At 37.3% G+C, this 23861-nt stretch overlaps 1 long non-coding RNA gene across 1 annotated transcript in view; it reads right to left on the bottom strand.

Annotated features, from left to right (window-relative positions):
- The window catches only part of DISC1FP1 (DISC1 fusion partner 1), a 663821-nt gene that overhangs the window by 633130 nt on the left and 6830 nt on the right, over nucleotides 1-23861 (bottom strand). The window lies entirely within an intron of this gene.

The raw sequence follows: 23861 nt of genomic DNA, 5'->3' as shown, positions 1-23861 counted from the left end.
CTTATTATGATTACACTGTGTTATAGAATTCTGGGAATAATACCACAAAGAATAAGTGGCCTTCTCATCATATCATATCAGGAGGTACATGATATCAACATATCCTAGTACTGATGAGGTTAACTTCAATCACTTGATTAAGATGCTATCTGCCAGGTTTATCCACTGTAAGCTCTACCTCCTGGGGAGAGAAATATCAAAGAATTTGTGCCTGTTTCTCCAGGCTCAGGTAGCTTTCTCACATATAAGCACTAACATGTATTCAGCTAAAGACTCAAGAAGAAAACCTTTCCTTATTTCTAGAGCTCTTTCTCATCACCTCACTTCTCTTTAGTGTGCTGCTCAATGAATTTCTTTCTGCATTCTCAACTTAGCTTCCTTGACTCAGGGAAACTGCCAGGCTCTGTTTGTATTTCTCCTCCCTCCACTGTATCCTAAATATTATCTTAAGATAGTAAGCTGTATCAATTCTAGAATTCACCATGTTTGTTTTCCCTCTCTCAGGAGTCAGTCATCCAATTTCTGTAAACCATTGTTTCATATGTATTTTTATTTGTTTACAATGGAGGGGTAAATACAGAAATAGGTGCCTGGTCCAATATTTTAAACACCATCTATGTGCTGATACCACCAAAAATTAAACTTGTAGCTCAGAACTTTTCCATGAACTACAAACACTTATCCAATTTCCTATTTTATATTTCCACTTAAATTCTCATTGGCATTCTAAACTCAACTTATCTAAAGCAGAACTCTTGATTCATTACACCCCCATTCATTTCTCTCTTGCTCCTCTTAATCCCAATACATATTACTACAAGTCACTCAGATACTCAATTAAAAATCTGGGAGTTATCTTTGACTCTTCTCTTCCCCTTACTGCCATATCCAATACATTAGCAATTCCTATTTTTCTATTTCCAATATTCATATCAAATCCAACCTCTTGTCTATAACCATTCTTAGTATCTCTCATCTGAGCCATTGCAGAAACTTGTAATCTACTTACTTGCATTCTTGCTTCTCCCTTTTCATTCATTATCCAGCAGCCATAATAATATTTTAAAAATATACATAAAGAGTAATATCAGCAAGATGACAAAGTAGAAAGCTCTAGACTATCTTTTCCCCTATGAACACAACAATTCAGCAACAATTCACAGACAGATACCCTTTGTGAGAAACTAATTGAAAGGCTCTTGTACCCTGGGCAAACACAAAACCAGACTCATGGAAGCTAGTAGGAAGATTCAGAACACCCTCCCACCAAAATTCTCACACCTGACATAGGGCCATAAGATTGATTGGAAAGAGACCACTGGCACCCTCCCCCAGATCCTAACTTCTCTCAGGTAAGGAAAAGAATTGGTTCACACATAAGTGCCCCAACTTTTCCATAGAAGCATCCCAGAGGACTGGGTTCTGTCTTGCCAATCTAGGAGCCCTGATGGGACGAGCATAATCTAGCCAAATGGGGGAGAACAAAAACAGCAGTGTGGGGCATAGTTGCCATAGCTTTGCCCCTCAGCTCAGAATGGCATGAGCAGAGGGAAAATTCCAGCTCCCAGCTACTCCCTGAGGAGGAAAAGAGTTGGTCCATGCATCCAGCATCCCAACTTTCCTTCAAAGACTTCACAGTGGACTGGTTTCTGTTTTGCCAGTCTCAGCGCACTGACCTGGCAAAATGTAGCTGTAGGGGGAAGAGTGAAAACAGAGATGGAGGTTTGGGTTGGCAGTCACTATTGCCTGTCTTCCAAAAACTTGAAGAGGGGGAAACACTTCTGAACTCATTTTATGAGGCCAGCATTACCCTGATATCAAAGCCAGACAAAAACACCTCAAAAAAAGAAAACTACAGGCAAATATCTCTAATCAATATAGAGAAGAAAATTGTTTTAAAATACTAACAAATTGAATTCAACAGCATATTAAAAGGTCATATACCATGACCATGAAGGATTTGTCCCTGAGATACATGGATGGTTCAACATATGAAAATCAAGTAATGTGATATTCTAAATTAACAGAAGAAAAAATGAAAATCATATGATAATTTCAACAGATGCAGAAAAAGCATTTTGCAAAATTTAGTACCTTTCCATGGTAAAAGCTCTCAACAAACTAGAAATAGAATAAAATTATTTCAACGTAATAATGACCATATATAAAGAATCCACAGCTATCATCACAGTTAACAGCAAAAAATCTGAAAATTGTTTTAAGCTCTACGATCAGGAACAAAGCAAGAATGCCCTCTCTTGTTACTTCTATTTAACATAGTACTAGATGTCTTAGGTAGACTTTCCTGCAATTGGGCAAGAAAAAGAGACAAAAGGCATCCAAATCAGAAAAGAAGAAGTAAAATGGTCCCCCTTTGCTAATGACATAATCTTACATCTAGAAAACCCTAAAGACTCGACCAAAAAACTGTGAGAACTAATAAACAAATTTAGTAAAGCTGAAGGATACAAAATCAACATATATTGTAGTCCCAGCTACTTAGGAGGCTGAGTGTGAAGGATGGCTTGATCCCAGGAGTTTAAGTCTAGCCTGGGAAATATATAGCGACCCCATCTCTATTAATTTTTTTAAAAAATAAATATATAAAAATTAATTATATATCTATAGAGTAAAAATAAATTATCTGAAAATTCAGAAAGCAATTCCATTTACAATAGCATCAAAAAGAATAAAATAGGAATAAACTTAACTAAGGTGATGAAAGACTTATACACTGAAAGCTACAAAACACTGATGAACAACATTAAAGAAGACACAAAGAAATGAAAAGATATTTTGTGTTCACAGATTGGAAGAATTAATTTTGTTAAAATGTTCATATAATCCAAAGTAATCTACAGATTCAATATAATTTTCATCAAAAATCCCAATAGTATTTTTACAGAAACGGAAAAAAAAACACTCTAAATTTCATAAGGAAACACAGAAGACCCCAAAATAGTCAAATCAATCTTGAGAAAGAAGAGCGAGGCTGGAGCATCACACTTCATGATCTCAAAATGTATTACAATGCTACAGTAAGTAAAACAGTATGGTGCTAGCATAAAGACAGTTATCTAAGGCAAATGGAAGAGAGTACAGAACTCAAAAATAAATCCATAAATACACAGTCTTCAACAATACTGCCAAGCATACACAATGGGGAAAAGGTAGTTTCTTCAACAAATAATATTGGGAAAACTGGATATTCACATATAAAAGAATGAAATTTGAACAATATCTTATGCCATACACAAAAGCAACTCACAATGGTTTAAAAAGCCACACATAAGATCTGAAACCATAAATTCTTAGATGATAATATAGGGGAAAGCCTTCATGAAATTAATCTTGGCAATGATTTCATGGACATGGCACCAAAATCACAGGCAAAAATAGACAAGTGGGACTACATTGAACTAACATCTTCTGCACATCAAAAGAAATATTTAACAGAATGAAAAGGCAATCTATGAAATAGGAGAAAATATTTGCAAACTATGTATCTGATGAATGGTTAATATCTGAAATGTGTAAGTAATTTCTACAACTCAATAGCAGAAAGACTAATAACTTGATTTTAAAACGGGCTTAAGACTTGAATAGAAATTTCTTCCAAAAAGACATACAAATGGCCAACAGCTATATGAAAAGATGCTCAATGTCATTAATCATCAGAGAAATGCAAATATAAACCACAATGAGGTATCATCTGATACCTGTCAGAATGTCTATTATCAATGTTGGTGAGGATGTAGAGAAATAACAACCCTTGTAAACTGTTGATGGAAACACAAACTTATGCAGCCATTATGGAAAACATTATGGAGTTTTCTCAAAAATTAAAAATAGAATCACCATATGATCTGCAATCCCACTTCAGGGTATTTATCCAAAAGAATTGAAATCAAGATCTCATAGATATATTTATACTCCCATGTTCACTGCAGCACTATTCACAATAGGCAAGATGTGGAAACAACCTAAGTGCCCCTTAACAGACGAAAAAAAAAAAGAAAATGTAGTATATACATGTAATGGATATTATTCAGCCTTTAAAAAGAAGGAAATTCTGCAATATGCAATAACATGGATAAACGTCAAGGACATTATGCTAAGTTAAATAAATCAGTCTCGGAAGAACAAATGCTGGATCATTCCATTTATATGAGTACCTAAAATCATCAAATTTGTCCAGTAAAAGAGTGGAATGGTGGTTTCCAGAGGCTGGGAGAAGGGGAAATGGGGAGTTACATCAACAAGCATAGAGTTTCATTTAGGAAATATTAATAAGTTTCAGAAATCGGCTGTACAACATCATGCCTATAGTTAACAATACTGTGTTATGCACTTAAAATTTGGTTAAGAGAATAATGTATCAGTTAGGGTTCTCGGAGAAACAGAACCCTTTCCTAAAGTGTTCTTCTCCTGGTTCGTGATATGGCTCACTTATTTTTCATCATTCAGGTTTCGGCTTAAATGTCACTTTCTTCAGAAATCATTCCTTGACCACCCTATTAATAGTTGTGCTCCTGCCTCTGTGACCCCCTTTTACATCATGGTATTTAATTCCTTTATACACTTTAAATGATTTTTCATTATCTTATTTACTCGCTTCATTATTTATTTATCATCTGTGTCATAGACAAAAACTCCTAGAGGAAAAGTCATCTTTTTTTGTCACTGTATCTGCAAGACATGATTGATGCCTGGTATTCATTAGATATTACATAAAAATTCTTGAATATATTAATGAAGATACAAATATATTTTTCATAGATAGGAAGTTAATGTTATGGTCCAGGCAAGATCTGACTTGGTAAGATCTTGTTAGGAATCTAGACAATAGGGCAGCTAACAAGAGCCTACAGGTCAAATCAAACCTGCTTTTGAAAGTAAAGTCTTCTTTTGAGAAGTGTCTGTTCATATCCTTCACCCACTGTTTGATGGTGTTGTTTGTTTTTTCTTGCAAATTTGTTTGAGTTCATTGTAGATTCTGGATATTAGCCCTTTGTCAGATGAGTAGGTTGCAAAAATTTTCTCCCATTCTATAGATTGCCTGTTCACTCTGATGGTAGTTTCTTTTACTGTGCAGAAGCTCTTTAGTTTAATTAGATCCCATTTGTCAATTTTGGCTTTTGTTGCCATTGCTTTTGGTGTTTTACACATGAAGTCCTTGCTCATGCCTATGTTCTGAATGGTATTGCCTAGGTTTTCTTCTAGGGTTTTTATGGTTTTAGGTCTAACATTTAAGTCTTTAATCCATCTTGAATTAATTTTTGTATAAGGTGTAAGGAAGGGATCCAGTTTCAGCCTTCTACATATGGCCAGCCAGTTTTCCCAGCACCATTTATTAAATAGGGAATCCTTTCCCCATTGCTTGTTTTTGTCAGGTTTGTCAAAGAACAGATAGTTGTAGATATGCTGTATTTATGCAGCCAAAAAACACATGAAAAAATGCTCATCATCACCGGCCGTCAGAGAAATGCAAATCAAAACCACAATGAGATACCATCTCACACCAGTTAGAATGGCGATCATTAAAAAGTCAGGAAACAACAGGTGCTGGAGAGGATGTGGACAAACAGAAAAACTTTTACACTGTTGGTGGGACTGTAAACTAGTTCAACCATTGTGGAAGTCAGTGTGGAGATTCCTCAGGGATCTAGAACTAGAAATACCATTTGACCCAGCCATCCCTTTACTGGGTATATACCCAAAGGATTATAAATCATGCTGCTATAAAGACACACGCACACATATGTTTATAGCGGCACTATTCACAATAGCAAAGACTTGGAACCAACCTAAATGTCCAACAACGAGAGACTGGATTAAGAAAATGTGGCACATATACACCATGGAATACTATGCAGCCATAAAAAATGATGAGTTCATGTCCTTTCTAGGGACATGGATGAAACTGGAAACTATCATTCTCAGCAAACTATCACAAGGACAAAAAACCAAACACCACATGTTCTCACTCATAGATGGGAATTGAACAATGAGAACACATGGACACAGGAAGGGGAACATCACACACCGGGGACTGTTGTGGGGTGGGAGTAGGGGGGAGGGATAGCATTAGGAGATATACCTAATGCTACATGATGAGTTAATGGGTGCAGCACACCAACATGACAATAGTATACATATGTAACAAACCTGCACGTTGTGCACATGTACCCTAAAACTTAAAGTATAATAATAAAATTAAAAAAGAAGTAAAAAATAAATAAATAAAATAAAAGCTGTATAGTAAAAAAAAAAAAAAAAGTAAAGTCATGTTGAAAGACAGCCATATGCATTTGATTACATATTGTCTATGGCTACAGTGGCAGAGTTAAATAATTAAAACAGAGACTATTTGACCCAGAAAGCCTAAAAGGTTTACTAACTGTTCCTTCCTAAAAAATGCTTGCCAACTCCTAATCTAGACATATGTAGAGATAAGTGGGATAACACAGAGGGAATAGAATATATTAAGCATTGCTCTCAGACCAAAAGTCTGTGTTCCATGATAATACATACACAATTCATCTCTCTCCTACTTCATGGTCTGTTTCCTACCTTCTTCCCTACCACTATCACCCCAAGAATAGAATAACCTTTTTTATAGTGTAGATCCCATGTTTCCAAGACTCTTAACTATAAATCATTAAACCACCTCCATTATTACTATAATAGTAAAGACAGTAACCACTTGTACATTCTGTACCTTGTCACAATATTCCAGAACTTCCATGTTACATATGCTGAGTTAAATACTATCACCATTCTCGCTATTTCTTTTGCATGTTGAAAATGTTGCCATTTTGTGAAACTTATTAAAATGTATGTTGTTTTGTTGAAATTCTATTAAAATGTAATTTCAGCCAGAAACAGTGATCCATCTTTCTAGGACCATTAGTTCCTTTCAAATGGGCATTCAATGCATTCAACCTTTCAGACCATAGTACTATCAGCTAGACCACTAAAAAATGTAATGTACGTCTCCAGTGCTTTCCAGAGTTCCTAAAATCAACTCAAAGAAAATATGTTACTCAGCTAGCAATGAGAGTTTGTGTCAAAAGGTGAAATTATGCCCTTTTCCTACCTTCCAGCATCCTTACTTACACTTAGAGGCAGGTGACAACAGAAGACTTAATTTGTCTGCCACGGAAGTCTTAGATTGTCCCAACGACCTATTACTTTGTCACCATTCCAGCGGCTTGGATGTGATGATTTGATTTCATAAATCTTCAGTCAAAGATACAATGATAGTGCCATATAGACATAAACGATGTTATAACAATACTATTTTGTGCTCCAATATGAAAAATTAGAAAGGTCACCAGGTCACTAAGGAAAACATGCTGACTTTGGGAAAAAGACTGTTATGGGTGCATGTACCTTGCTCCTCTGCTTTGTCCTCTTCAGTTTTAACCTTGATTATGACCACAGTATGAGAAATTAAAGAGGATACTGATAAAAATAACTAAATTATAGTTTCATTGGTAACCACAGATAAAAGTGGAGAGATATTAAGAAGATGTGAATGCTTTTATTGGTAACTATCTTAGCTACTTTATGCCTGTGGAAAAGAAGCCAGCATAAATATTTGAATGCCTTGGAACCCTCCAAGCTCACACTTAAAAAACAAAATAAAATAACCTACTTGCCTACCTTCTATAATTCACTCATTCATTACTTAATAGGTTCTGCAACAAAAGTCTAATGAGTGATTTTAAGTAAGTGGAGTCAAAATCAAGGCAAATCAAAATAAAAACACAAAACTGAGAAAGCAATTAAAAACACAACCAAGTTATTTAGTGTGTAGCTTAATACTCAAGCATCTCTCATTAACATGATAACATGTAAAGGATATGTAATAAATTATGTTACGGGAGGCAAGAAATGGAGAGTATCAAATTTCCTCTAAAAGTAGAGTAAGATATTAGTTTATTATTAAGAAACCAGTTTGTATTGTTTTGTGTGCTCGACTTCTGTTAAACCGAAAATAATCTTTCACAATTATTTACTCTATAGACTCTCTTTTCATTCCCAAATTTAAGAATTTGTTATTATAAGTATTGAATTCCATAAATTTTCACTTCTTTAAATCTTCTCTAGTTCAACGTGGATCAGAAACCAACATCCCAGGAAAGAAAAAAAAATTTCAAATTATAGGGGTATTTTTTTGAGTTAGATGCATAAAGTGACAATATTTATAATACAAATGTATCAAGAAATAGTTTATCAATCTATTCAGGCAAAAGATGTGAACAGTTGGTTCCTGTTGTTCTTCAGTTTGTGTAGTTTTATTTACTTGCTTTGCTAAATACTGTCAAATACTCTAATTCTATTCTTCTGTTGATCAATTTTTTTCATTGTACTTTAAGTTTTAGGGTACATGTGCACAACGTGCAGGTTAGTTACATATGTATACATGTGCCATGTTGGTGTGCTGCACCCATTAACTCATCATTTAACATCAGGTATATCTCCTAATGCTATCCTTCCCTCCTCCCCCCACCCCACAACAGGCCCCAGTGTGTGACGTTCCCCTTCCTGTGTCCATGTGTTCTCATTGTTCAATTCCCACCTATGAGTGAGAACATGCGGTGTTTGGTTTTTTGTCCTTGTGATAGTTTGGTGAGAATGATGGTTTCCAGCTTCATCCATGTCCCTAGAAAGGACATGAACTCATCATTTTTATGGCTGCATAGTATTCCATGGTGTAGTCAAAGAAAGGGGTGACAGACGGCACCTGGAAAATCGGGTCACTCTCACCCTAATACTGCGCTTTTCCAATGGTCTTAGCAAACGGCACACCAGGAGATTATATCCCGTACATGACTCAGAGGGTCCTACACCCATGGAGCCTAAAAGAGCTGTTGATCAATTTTTTAAACCTCTTCAAAAAGGAAGGTTGGTAGTGAAAGAAAAATTCTTTTTTTTTTTTTTTGCGATGGAATCTCGCGTTGCCCAGGCTAGGGTGCAGTGGTGCAATCTCGGCTCACTGCAACCTCCGCCTCCCGGGTTCAAGTGATTCTCCTGCCTCAGCCTCCTGAGTAGATGGAATTACAAGTGTGTGCCACCATGCCTGGCTAATTTTTGCATTTTTAGTAGAGACAGGGTTTCACCATGTTGGTCTGGCTGGCCTTGAACTCCTGACCTCAGGTGATCCACCTGACTCAACCTCCCAAAGTGCTGGGATTACAGGCGTGAGCCACCGTGCTCGGCCAGAAAAAATCTTTTAAAACAGCTCCTACAAAACATTTTTTTTTCACATAAGCACAGTTTTACTTTTTCCCTACTAAAGAAATAGTCATCTAATGTTCCCCACATGGTGTGAGCAATTTCCTCTATTATTAAATTAGTAAATCTTCTGTACACATATATTTCCACACTCTGAACCTTTGGTCATGCCATTCTATCCATTGAAATGTTCTTCCCTCATCTTCATGTGCATCAGGGAACAATTCAGCTAAAGCTGATATACTGCTAGGTATCCTCATCAACCATTAGGAATCTCAAGTGAATTCAGTTATCCTCATCCTTAAAGATATGCTACATGCTTTCCTCAAAATTTTCTGTTTATTTTGCCCAACTTCTGTCCTCAAAATATTACCCATCATCATTAACATAACTTTTTTTGAGTTATATTTATTATTACATACTATTCTAATGCTGGCCCTATAGTCAGTTACAAAAAATTACAATTAACTTACTAGATACTCTCCTAGATGCTGGAACTACAATAAAGTTTTCAAATTATTAGCAATTAAGTTTGGGGTTCAACTTATACACTTTAAAGTAAATGATAGAAATAATATATAGTATCAAGTGATTAGCCCAGAAAGTAGAGAAAAAAATTCAGAAAAAGGAGAGATTTTTATCAGTAGAAGCAGTCAGAAAATACATATGAAAGTAAAAAACACAAAAAGTAATAAAAGAAGATATTCCAAGAAGAAAGAAAGGAATTAGTGAAAGTGTGGAGATAGATATGTATGAATTGGTTTCACTGACCCCGAGAATTCATAGGAGGTAAAGGAACAGCCAATCACCTATCACCTGAGAGCACAGCAGGATGGACAATGATCGGGATATAAACCCAGGGATTCGAGCCAGCAACAGCTACCCTCTGGTTCCCCTCCCTTTGTATGGGAGCTCTGATTTCACTCTATTAAATCTTGCAACTGCAAAAAAAAAGAAAAAAAAAAAGAAAGAAGAAACAGAAGAGATTGGACTGGCAAGATGGATGAATAGGAACAGTTCCTGTCTGCAGCAACCAGCGAGATGGATGTAGAAGGCAGCTGATTTCTGCATTTCCAACTGAGATACCTGATTCGTCTCATTGGAACTGTTGGAGAGTGGGTGCAGCCCACGGAGGGCAAGCCGAAGCAGGGTGGGGAGTCACCTCACACAGGAAGCACAAGGGGTCAGGGGATCTCCCTTTCCCAGCCAAGGGAAACTGTGAGACTGTACCAGGAGGAATGGTGTACTGTGGCCCAGATACTACACTTTTCCCATGGTCTTCATAACCCGCAGACCAGGAGATTCCCTCCATTGCCTATGCCACCAGGGCCCTGGGTTTCAAGCAGAAAGCTGGGTGGCAGTTTGGGCAGACACTGAGCTAGTTGCAGGATCCCTTCCTCCCTTCCTCCCTTCCTCCCTTCCTCCCTTCCTCCCTTCCTCCCTTCCTCCCTTCCTCCCTTCCTCCCTTCCTCCCTTCCTCCCTCCCTCCCTCCCTCCCTCCCTCCCTCCCTCCCTCCCTCCCTCCCTCCCTCCCTTCCTTCCTTCCTTCCTTCCTTCCTTCCTTCCTTCCTATCCCAGTGGCACCTGGAACACCAGCGAGACAGAACTGTTCACTCCCCTGGAAGGGGGACTGAAGCCAGGGAGCCAAGTGCTCTGGCTTGGCGGGTCCCACCCCCATGGAGGCCAGCAAGCTAAGTTCCACTAGCTTGAAATTCCTGCTGTTAGCACAGAAGTCTGAGGTCGACCTGGGAAGCTCAAGCTCTGTGGGTGAAGGAGAGTCCACCATTGCTGAGGCTTGAGTAGGAGGTTTTACCCTCACAGTATAAACAAACGCACCTGGAAGTATGAACTGGGTGGAGCCCACTGCAGCTGAGCAAGGGCTCTGTGGCCAGACTGCCTCTCTAGATTCCTCCTTTCTGGGCAGGGCATCTCTGAAAAAAAGGCAGCAGCCCCAGTCAGGGACTCATAGACAAAACCCCCATCTCCCTGGGACAAAGCACCTGGGGAAAGGGGCGGTTGGGGGCACAGCTTCAGCAGACTTAAACGTCCCTGGCTGATGGCTCTGAAGAGAGCAGCAGATGTCCCAGCACAGTGTTAGAGCTCTGCTAAGGGACAGAATGCCTCCTCAAGTGGGTCCCTGAACGCCATGTAAACTGACTGGGAGACAACTCCCAGTAGAGACTGACAGACACATCATACAGGAGAGCTCTGACTGGCATCTGGTGGGTGGCCCTCTGGGACAAAGCTTCCAGAGGAAGAAACAGGCAGCAATCTTTGCTGTTCTGCAGCCTCCGCTGGTGATACTCAGGCAAACAGGGTCTGGAGTGGACCTCCAGCAAACTCCAGCAGACCTGCAGCAGAAGGGCCTGACTATTAGAAGGAAAACTAACGAACAGAAAGGAATCATATCAACATCAACAAAAAGGACGTCCACACCAAAACCCCATCCGAACATCACCAATATCAAAGACCAAAGGTAGATAAATCCATGAGGAAGGGGAGAAACGAGCACAAAAAGGCTGAAAATTCCAAAAACCAGAACACCTCTTCTCCAAGGGATCACAACTCCTCGCCAGCAAGGGAACAAAATTGAACAGAGAAGGATTTTGACAAATTGACATAAGTGGACTTCAGAAGGTGGGTAATAACAAAGTCCACCAAGCTAAAGGAGCATGTTCTAACCCAATGCAAGGAAGCTAAGAACTTTGAAAAAAAGCTAGATGAATTGCTAACTAGAATAACCAGTTTAGAGAAGAACACAATTGACCTGATGGAGCCAAGAAACACAGCACGAGAACTTCATGAAGCATACACAAGTATCAATAGCTGAATCAATCAAGCAGAAGACAGAATATCACAGATTGAAGATCAACTCAATGAAGTGAAGCGAGAAGACAAGATTAGAGGAAAAAGAGTGAAAACAAATGAACAAAGTCTCCAAGAAATATGGGACTATGTGAAAAGACAAAATCTATGTTTGTTTGGTGTACCGGAAAGTGACAGGAAGAATGGAACCAAGCTGGAAAACACTCTTCAGCACATTATCCAGGAGAAACACCCCAACCCTAGCAAGGCAGGCCAACATTCAAATTCAGGAAATACAGATAACGCCACAAAGATACTCCTTGAGAAAAGCAACCCCAAGACACATAATCATCAGATTCACCAAGGTTGAAATGAAGGAAAAAATGTTAAGGGCAGCCAGAGAGAAAAGCTGGGTCACCCACAAAGGGAAGCCCCTCAGGCTAACAGCATATCTCTTAGCAGAAACTCTACAAGACAGAAGAGAATGGGAGCCGATATTCAATATTCTTAAAGAAAAGAATTTTCAACCCAGAATTCCTTATCCAGCCAAACTAAGCTTCATAAGCAAAATAAAGTATTTTACAGAGAAGAAAATGCTGAGACATTTTCTTACCACCAGGCCTGCTTTAGAAGAGCTCCTGAAGGAAGCACGAAACATGGAAAGGAACAACCAGTACCAGCCACAGCAAAAACATACCAAATTGTAAAGACCATCAACGCTATGAGGAAACTGCATCAACTAACAGGCAAAGTAACCAGCCAGCATCACAATGACAGGATCAAATCCACATATAACAATATTAACCTTAAATGTAAAAGGGCTAAATGCCCTGATTAAAAGACACAGACTGGTAAATTGGATAAAGAGTCAAGACCCGTCAGTGTGCTATATTCAGGAAACCCATCTCACATGCAAAGACACACATAGGCTCAAAATAAATGGATGGAGGAAGATTTATCAAGCAAATCGAAAGTGAACAAAAAAAAGCAGGGGTTGCAATCCTAGTCTCTGATAAAACAGACTTTAAACCAACAAAGAACAAAAGAGACAAAGAAAGGCATTACATAATGGTAAAGGTATCAATGTATCAAGAAGAGCTATCTATCCTAAATATATATGCACCCAATACAGGAGCACCCAGATTCATAAAGAAAGTTCTTAGAGACCTACAAACAGACTTGGACTACCACAAAATAATAGTGGGTGACTTTAACACCCCACTGTCAATGTTAGACAGATCAACAAAACCGAAAATTAACAAGGATATCCAGGACTTGAACTCAGCTCTGGACCAAGCGGACCTAATATACATCTACAGAAGTCTCCACCCCAAATCAACAGAACATACCTTCTTCTGAGCACCTCATTGCACTTATTCTAAAATTGGCAGCATAATTGGAAGTAAAACACTCCTAAGCAAATGTGAAAGAATGGAAATCATAACAGTCTCTCAAACCACAGTGCAATCAAATTAGAACTCAGGATTAAGAAACTCACTCAAAACTACACAACTACATGGAAACTGAACAACCTGTTCCAGAATGACTACTGGGTAACAAAATTAAGGCAGAAGTAAAGATGTTCTTTGAAACCAATGAGAACGAAGACACAACATACCAGAATCTCTGGGACAAATTTAAAGCAGTGTGTAGAGAGAAATTTATAGCACAAAATGCCCACAAGAGAAAGCAGGAAAGATCTAAAATTGACACCCTAACTTACAATTAAAAGAACTAGAGAAGCAAGAGCAAACAAATTCAAAAGCTAGCAGAAGGCAAGAAATAATTAGGATCAGAGCAGAACTGAAGGAGATACAGACATGAAAACCCCTTCAAAAAATTAATGAATCCAAGAGCTGCTTTTTTAAAAAGATCAACAAAATAGATAGACTGCTAACCAGACTAATAAAGAAGAAAGAAACAAGAATCAAATAGACACAATAAAAGGTAAAGGGGCTATCACCACTGATCCTACAGAAATACAAACTACCATCAGAGAATACTATAAACACCTCTACGCAAAGAAACTAGAAAATCTAAAAGAAGTGGATAAATTCCTGGGCACATACAACCTCCCAAGACTAAACCAGGAAGAAGTCAAATCCCTGAATAGACAAATAAAAAGTTTCAAAATTGAGGCAGTAATTAATAGCCTACTAACCAAAAAACAAATCCAGGACCAGACAGATTCACAGCCGAATTCTACCAGAGGTAGAAAGAGGAGCTGGTACCATTGCTTCTGAAACTATTCCAAACAATAGAAAAAGAGGGAATCTTCCCTAACTAATTGTAAGAGGCCGGACTTACCCTGATACCAAAACCTGGCAGAGACACAACAAAAAAAAATTTCAGGCCAATATCCATGATGAATATCGATGCAAAAATCCTCAATAAAATACTGGGAAACCGAATCCAGAAGCACATCAAAAAGCTTATCCACCACGATCAAGTAGGCTTCATTCCTAGAATGCAAGCCTGATTCAACATACGCAAATCAATAAATGTGATCCATCACATAAACAGGACCAATGAAAACAAGCACAAGACAAACGTGCCCTCTCTCACCACTCCTATTCAACATAGTATTGGGAGTTCTGACCAGGGCAATCAGTCAAGAGAAAGAAATAAAGGGTATTCAATTAGGAAGCGAGGAAGTCAAATTGTCTCTGTTTGCAGATGACATGATTGTATATTCTGAAAACCCCATTGTCTCAGCACAAAATCTCCTTAAGCTGATAAGCAACTTCAGTGAAGTCTCAAGATACAAAATCAATATGCAAAATTCACAAGCATTCCTATACACCAACAATAGACAAAAGCTAAATCATGAGTGAACTCCCATTCACAATTGCTAAAAAGAGGATAAAATATCTAGGAATACAACTTACAAGGGATGTGAAGGACCGCTTCAAGAACTACAAACAACTGCTCAAGGAAATAAGAGAGAAGACAAACAAATGAAAAAGCATTCCATGCTCATGGAGAAGAAGAATCAATATTGTGAAAATGGCCATACTGCCCAAGACAATTTATGGATGCAATGCTATCCCCATCAAGCTCCCATTGACTTTCTTCACAGAATTGGAAAAAACTACGTTAAATTTCATATGGAACCAAAGAAGACCCCGCATAACCAAGACAATCCTCAGCAAAAAGAACAAAGCTGGAGGCATCATGCTACCTGACTTCAAACTACACTACAAGGCTACAGTAACCAAAACAGCATGGTACTGGTACCAAAACACAGATATAGACCAATGGAACAAAACAGAGGCCTCAGAAATAACACTACACAGCTAAAATCATCTGATCTTTGACAAACCTGACAAAAACAAGCAATGGGGAAAGGATTCCCTATTTAATAAATGGTGTTGGTAAAATTGGCTAGCCATATGCAGAAAGATGAAAGTGGATCCCTTCTTTACACCTTATACAAAAATTATCCCAAGATGGATTAAAGACTTTAACATAAGACCTAAAACCATAAAAACCCTAGAAGAAAACCTAGGCAATACCATTCAGGCCATAGGCATGGTCAAAGACTTCATGACTAAAACACCAAAAACAATGGCAAAAAAAGCCAAAATTGACAAATAGGATCTAATTAAACTAAAGAGCTTTTGCACAGCTAAAGAAACTATCATCAGAGTGAACAGGCCACCTACAGAATGGGAGAAAATTTTTGCAATCTATCCGTCTGACAAAGGGCTAATATCCAGAATCTACAAAGAACTTAAACAAATTTACAAGAAAAAAAAACAAACAACCCCATCAAAAAGTGGGCAAAGGATATGAATAGACACTTCTCAAAAGAAGACATTTGTGCAGTCAACAAACATATGAAAAAAAGCTCATCATCATTGGTCATTAGAGAAATGGAAATCAAAGCCACAGTGAGATACCATCTCACACCAGTTAGAATGGCGATCATTAAAAAGTCAGGAAACAACAGATGCTGGAGAGGATGTGAAGAAATAGGAATGCTTTTACACTGTTGGTGGGAGTGTAAATTAGTTCAATCATTGTGGAAGACAGTGTGGCAATTCCTCAAGGATTTGGAACTAGAAATACCATTTAACCCAGCAATCCCGTTACTGGGTATATACCCAAAGGATTATAAATCATTCTACTATAAAGACACATGCACATATGTTTATTGCAGCACTGTTCACAATAGCAAAGACTTGGAACCAACCCAAATGGCCATCAATAATAGACTGGATAAAGAAAATGTGGCACATATACACCATGGAATACTACGCAGCCATAAAAAGGATGTGTTCATGTCCTTTGCAGGGACATGGATCAAGCTGGAAACCATTATTGTCAGTAAACTACCACGAGAACAGAAAACCAAACACCAAACACCGCATGTTCCGACTCATAAGTGAGAGGTGAACAATGAGAACACATGGACATGAGGGTGGGGGGGCATCACACACTGGGGTCTGTGGGGGATGGGGGCTAGGTGACAAATAGCATTAGGAGAAATACCTAATGCAGTTGACGGGTTGATGGGTGCAGCAAACCACCATGGCACGTGTAACAAACCTGCACGTTCTAGACATGTATTCCAGAACTTAAAGTATAATAATAAAAAAGAAACAGAAGAGAATAATTAAAGTCCATGAATGCTATAGTAAAATACCTAGATTTCTTTTATAGAATGACAAAGAGTAAATGAAAACTTTTGAACTATTAGTGACATAAATAGAGAATTGCTTTAGGAAGATTAATCTGGCATTAAGAGTGCTATATTAATTGGAGGTAGAAAGATGTATCATGAGACTTTTGCAGAAGACTGAGGATAATTGTGCTGTGCAATACAGCAGTGCCAGTGGGATTAAAAGGAATATTATGTAATGATATCACAATGAAATAAAATGATCAAAATTTATGACTGACATGACATGAAGAAAAATTTGGAGAGAGACTAAAACTAGAGAAGAATAATATTGGTTCAAGAAACTGATGCAGGCAAAATCAAAGTCAGTACCTGGAAGATGTAAGAGAAAAAAGTGTTATTTATGGGTCATGTTTTAAAAATTTAAGTGAACAACGCTTTTGCTTTGGCTTCATATTCTCCCTTTCCAGGAGGCTACATCTTGTCTCCTTCTGTTTATGAGCTACCTTTGACAAATGGAATAATTCAGTAAATCTTATCCTTCTGTAATGCGTTTTATTATTCATTTATTTAATATACATTTATTGAGTTCATAGTAAATGTTAGGCATTATGTTAGGTAGCAACAATGATGAACAAAATAAATGCAGTGCCTACCCTCATTGTAGATATACAGTAATAGAGAAGACAGATACTTAACAAATAATTGCTCAAATAACTATTTAATGATTGTTATGCATATTATTAAGCAAAAGTAGAGATGGCTATGAAAGTTTACAAAAGGAGGAAATAACCTAATCTGGCAAGAGGTTCTGGGAATGGTGCCCTGACAAATTAAACTAATATTTAATTTAATAGTTGAAGGATGAGTAGGAGTTAGCTAAATTAGAAAGGAGAGCAAGTGAGCCTGGGCAACATGAAGAAAACCTCTCTCTACAAAAGTTAAGAAAAAAATATTAGCCAGGCATGGTTGCGTGAGCCTATAGTCCCAGCTACATGGGAGGCAGAGGTGGGCAGATCACTTGAATCCCAGGAGGTGAAGTTCTGATTGTACCACTGCACTCCAGCCTGGGCAACAGAGTGAGACCCTATCTGAAAAAAAAACAAAAAAAAATCGCCGGGCGTGGTGGCTCACGCCTGTAATCCCAGCACTTTGGGAGGCCGAGATGGGCAGATCACAAGATCAGGTTATCGAGACCATCCCAGCTAACACGGTGAAACCCCGTCTCTACTAAAAATACAAAAAATTAGCCGGGCGTAGTGGCGGGCGCCTGTAATCCCAGCTACTCGGGAGGCTAAGGCAGGAGAATGGCGTGAACCTGGGAGGCGGAGCCTGCAGTGAGACGAGATCGCGCCACTGCACTCCAGCCTGGGAGACTGAGCAAGACTCCGTCTCAAAAAAAAAAAAAAAAAAAAAAAGAGAGAGAGAGAGGAGAAAGGGAGAAAGTATGTGTGTTTATATTACAGGTGAAAAGAATATCTCACATACAGGAAGCAGTATAAGCAAGGGTTATGAGGGCAACAGATCTTAGTACATTTTAGGGATAGAAAAGGTTGGTGTGGATGGAGCAAAGTGAGCAAGAGAGGGAGATGATTAGTGCAAGATGAGTGTCTTAACTCTTTTGTGTTGCTATGAAGGAACACCTAAGACTGAGTAACTAATTTTTTGTTTTAGTTTTATTTGGCTTATGCGTGGCACTGGCATTGCATCTGGTAAGGGCCACAGGCTGCTTCCATTCATGGTGTCAAAAAGGAGCCAGTCTATAGAGAGATTATGTGGCAAGAAATGAAGTGAGAGAGACAGAGGGGAGGTGCCAGGCCCTTTTTAACAACCAACTCTCATTGGAACTAGTAGAGTGAGGACTCACTCATTACATGAGGACCACACCAAGCCATTCATGAGGGATCTGCCCTCATGACCCAAACACCTCCCATTAGGCCCCACCTTCAACAGGAGATTAAGTTTCAACATGAAGTTTGGGGAAGTCAAATATCTAAACCATAGCCATGAGGATGTAAAAACAGGCAGGAACCATATTATCTGAATCCTGTAGATTTTTACATTTATCCACAGAGCAATGGAAAGATATTAAGGGCCTATAACATGGTTTTTTTGTTGCTGTTTTTACAATCTGGTGAAAGTGTGAGTACTGGAATGGAGAAAGTCAAGATTAGAAACAGGAAAACCAGTTTAGAGGCTATTTGTCTAAGTCTAGGCAATTTATCATGGTAGCTTCAAGTAGTAGCAATACAGTTTGAGAGACATGAACACATTCAAGACATATTTTGCACATTTGGGAAGTAGAATTGGCAAGATTTGATAATAAAGTGGATGTGAGGAGTAAGGTAGAAGGATTAAGGATGTCTCCCAGGTTTCTGAAAGGGCAACTCAGTGATTAAAAAATCATTTGCTGGTATAGTGTGGATGTTGTCCCCACCTAAATGTCATGTTGAAATGTAAGTCCCAGTGTTGGAGATGGGGTCTGGTGGGAGGTGATTGGATCACGAGGGTGAATTTTTCATGAATGGTTTAGCACTATCCACTTGGTACTGTCCCTTCACAGTAGTGAGTGAGTTCTCATTAGATCTGGTCATTTTTAAGTGTGTGACACCTCCCCTCTATCTTGTTTCTGCTTTCACCATGTGACATGCCTGCTCCCCCTTTGCCTTCTGTCAAGATTGTAAGCTTCCTGAAGCCTCCCCAGGAGCCCAGCAAGCATCCGCAGCATGCTTCCTGTAAAGCCTGCAGAATGTGAGCCAATTAAGCCTCTTTTCTTTATAAATCACCCAGTTTCAGGTATTGTTTTATAGAAATGCAAGAATGATTTAACGCACTTGCCAAGAGAGTTAACATTAGAGGAGAAACTGGTTTTATAGGAGCAGATTATGGGTTCAGTTTTTTACTATGAGGCCTATGTAGATTATTCAAATAAACCATAGTATATGAGTTTGGAGACCAATGTGGATCTAATGCTTCAGTGAAACATTATTGGGGAAAGGATTTCTGATAACAAGGATAAGGTGATGTAAAAATACTTTTCATTATCTATAGCTTAATATATTATGTGAAATAAACCCTTCATTTAAAGTGAATCTGTGAGCATAAAAACTATATACATTTTATTCATTTAATTAACATTCTGATGAGAAGAAGTTATCTTTTCAAAGAAAGCTTGATTAATTTATCTAATAATAGGGTTGTTACTCTTATTCATTTAAATAAAAGTAAGAATTGTCCAAGGTTTAACTTCTTCCTATACAGAAGCATAACATTTGGCAGGTTAATGTGCCATTACAACCACTTTGTACTTTTTTTTTTTACTTTCTAGACAAATAACATTTTTCCATGGAATAACTGCAGATGACAAAAGATATGTAGTTAATAAGAAGCCACTTAAAAGACACCATCCACCTCAAAAGATCAAATATTCAAGAAATAAATAAATTGTTAAAATATAAGTTGTCTTGGAATTTATTGCATCCAGCACTTCTCTAATACATGAGTCCTTTCCATAGCTGAACATTTTCTGCTAAGTTTTGTTTGAAATCTTCTAACAAAAAAGACACTGTATTTAAAGAGCAATAATTTTATACAATCATTTTATCCATTTATTTCTTCATTCATTTGTAAGTTCATTTATTCATATATTCTAATTCAACAAAGCATTGTGCTGGATGCCACATAGGGGAAAGTTGAATAAAATGATAAATCAGATATGAGTACTTGCTTCTCAAGACACTTAAAACCTGGCAAATATGAAAGAAAATTGCTATAATACAAGAAAAAATAAGTGATAAAAGAAAGCATATAAATAAAATATCATAGTATTCAGGAGATGAAGAGTCCTCTTTTAGCTAGTAAACAGCTTAAGGCTTATAGCAGACATTGTGGTTTGCCTCCTTAGCAATTATTTTTTTTTTTTATCAATTACAAACAGCCATGAAATTGATGACCTGCAAACTCCAGGGGAGGACCCTGACCAACTTAGATCAGAGGTAAGCTCTGATGATCTAATCTAATCAGCATTTATCAGCCTATATCAGTGAGAATATCACCTAAGCTATTTTAGTATGAAGCCGAGAACTTTTATTGAATTGGAGGTGAGTGGGTGGAGAGACTGGGGAGATGCTTTCTTTTTCTTGCTCTGTGTGATGTGGAATGTTAATGTAACACTTAAAATTGCTCCAACGTTGTCTAACCCTAAAGGAAATCAACCTAAGGACAGAGATCACATGAAGGAATAAAGACACAAGGGAACTGTGTATAAATTAATCTGGCACCTCATGAAATTGTACATGAACCTTTTTCTTTATCTTAACTTTTTTGTGTCATAAACCTATAAATTTCCTTTATTATAGCAATTTGAGTGGCTCTCTGCTACTTATAATCAAAACTATTCTAACTACAAAAATATTCATAAAGAAAATAGCATCTGACCTAGAGTTTGAAAAATAGTTAAGAATTTAGCATAAAAGGATGAAGGGAAGCATTCCAGACAGAGGGAATAAACACTTAGGAAATTAGGAAATTTCTGCAGCACCTCAGTTTGACTCTAATGGAGACTGAATATAGATGTAGCCTGAAAGTGATGGTTGGGTGAAATGTTCCAGAGTAAATGAATGCCTGGCTATGACAATTTCATTCTACAGACCAGTGATTCCAAGTATTAATAATCACGCCTTTACTAGAAAAGGATCTCACTCAACACCTTTCTCTTTATTCACTCATTTATAAAATATATACTCTTAATTATTAAGACAATGCAAATAAAGTTTTAATATGTTTTTCCCATATCTTAGTGTATCATCTTGTATCTCCACTTAAATATGTCCACTCCTACTTAGAATCTACTGTAACAGACAATGACAAACCACTGCAAAGTAAACAAGAGCATAAAGGGATAAGAACCACAGCTTAGAAGCATCTATCTGAGAGCAACATCTAAAATGGATTAAAATAGATATTACTGGAAATAGGGGGATTTGTTATTTTTTCCAAGAAGCCAGTAATTAAAGAATAATTGGAAACTTTAATCTTTAAGGCTTTGGACCATTCTAATAAGATTAACTTTTTCTATTTTCCAATCAGTTAACTGTTTGATAGTATTTTTTTTAAAAAAAATCCTTATTTAGTGAGCTGCATAATTTCTTCAATATCTAACATTTTTTGAATATCTGATAAAAATATAAAAGTTTTCATACAGGTAAAAGATGTATAGCATGTTTTTATAAAAATCAGTTAACTGGAACATTTTAAAAAATTAATCTTATTAAGATGGTCCAAAGCCTTACTTTTCCGTGGAACTTCCGGTTAGAGAAGCAAAGAAATCTATAGCATGATTAAAAGATATGTGTATCAAGATATTTAAGGCAGTGGGCCAAGTCTACTAAACTCTCTCATGCAGAAACTTCCTCTTCACCTTAGAAGATGTGCAAAGACAGAAAATCTATCAGAGAGCAACTATGAGTGACCACTCTTCAAATGTTACTAGCATCTATAAAAGATTTTTCTTGAAAAAAAATTCAAATTTTATTTTATGTTTGGGGAGTATATGTGAAAGTTTGTCACATAGGTAAACTCATGTCACAGGGGTTTGTTGTACAGATAATTTCATCACCCAGGTATTAAGCCCAGTACCCAATAGTTATCTTTTCTCCTCCTCTCCCTCCTTCCTCCCTTCATCCTCAAATATATGACTTACCAAATATATGATTTCTAAATGTCTATTAAAATGATATTTATTGAGCTGACAAATTTTGCAGGGTTTCAAAAAAGAAAAGGCACATTATAAATACATAATGAAATAAAACTGAATTGGAAAGATTGCCAGGACACAGAGGGATTAAAAGAATGAGGAGTAGGCCAGGCGTGGGTGGCTCACTCCTGTAATCCCAGCACTTTGGGAGGCCGAGGCAGGTGGATCACCTGAGGCCAAGAGTTAGAGACCAGTCTGGCCACCATGGCGAAACCCCTCTACTAAAAATACAAAAATTAGCCAGGCGTGGTGGCGGGCACCAGCAATCCCAACTACTCAGGAGGCTGAGGCAGGAGAATAGCTTGAACCCAGGAGGCGGAGGTTGCACTACACTGAGCCGAGATCGCACCACTGCACTCCAGCCTGGGTGACAGAGCGAGACTCTGTCTCAAAAACAGAAAAAGAAAAAGAAAAGAAAAAAGAGTAAGGAATAATTGGCTTATCTATACAAGAAACCAGCCTGGATATTGGCTCAATTTAAACTAACTGAAGGCAATTGCCCTGTATGTTTTTTCTAAGACTAGCTGAGAGATAAATATAAACATTCATTCTTTAAATTTTTGATGAATGTAACTAGTACAAATAAGCAGGAAAAAAATAACATTGTAAATAGATAAAATTTCATGTGTAACATCATAATATATAAAATCTGGTGCAAGTATATTAGATTTTGTAGAAATAATAATCACCAAAAAATATCTAATAGCAGCAGTTATAACTAATAATATTTTATAGAGACAAAACAATCAGCGTATCAAATCTCAGTTAAAAACTTTAAAAGAAAAAAAATATATTTTGATAAAAATTTCAGTAAAGTGAAATAGCAAAGTTGTGAATAGATAACTGTACAGAAATTGATCAATAGATTAAACTGACATGATGTTTATTACCCAAAATATTATTTTCTTCCAAATATTTTCTCAAAAATAAACAATTTTGTCATAATTCTGATTAAAATGCTTTAGACTTCTGAATAAAAAGCAAAATTACCTTAGGGTCAAAATCTGAAGTTAAGTGCCCATTACCTAAAACCAGTCAAGCCAAAATATTCTGTGCCTGTATTTAAAATATGCAATAAAGACTTTCAGATGTTTAAAAACAAGATAAATATCTTTATAGGATCCACTATTCACTAATTATTCACATAACAAACACTCACTGAAGGACTTTTAATTGTCAACTTGTGGTAATAAGAACCAAATTGCTGTCAATATGAAGATCAAAATCTGTGAAATATATAGAGAATCAGATACTGTAATTTTAATAAAGCTTCAAAAGTATAATACGCTTTAATATGAATGTTTCTTTAAAACATTTACTAATATTTTTACAACCATTTGTAGTTGACAACACATTTTCACAACAAAAACTTCTTAATTGATACTCCTCAAAAACTTTTTACAGGTTAGAAGCATGTGGGCCTGAAAAATAAAG

Source organism: Homo sapiens, chromosome 11 (assembly GCF_000001405.40).
Source record: "Homo sapiens chromosome 11, GRCh38.p14 Primary Assembly".
Taxonomy (NCBI): domain Eukaryota; kingdom Metazoa; phylum Chordata; class Mammalia; order Primates; family Hominidae; genus Homo; species Homo sapiens.
Note: the sequence above shows the minus strand (reverse complement) of the source record. Positions and strands in the feature narration are given on the sequence as shown.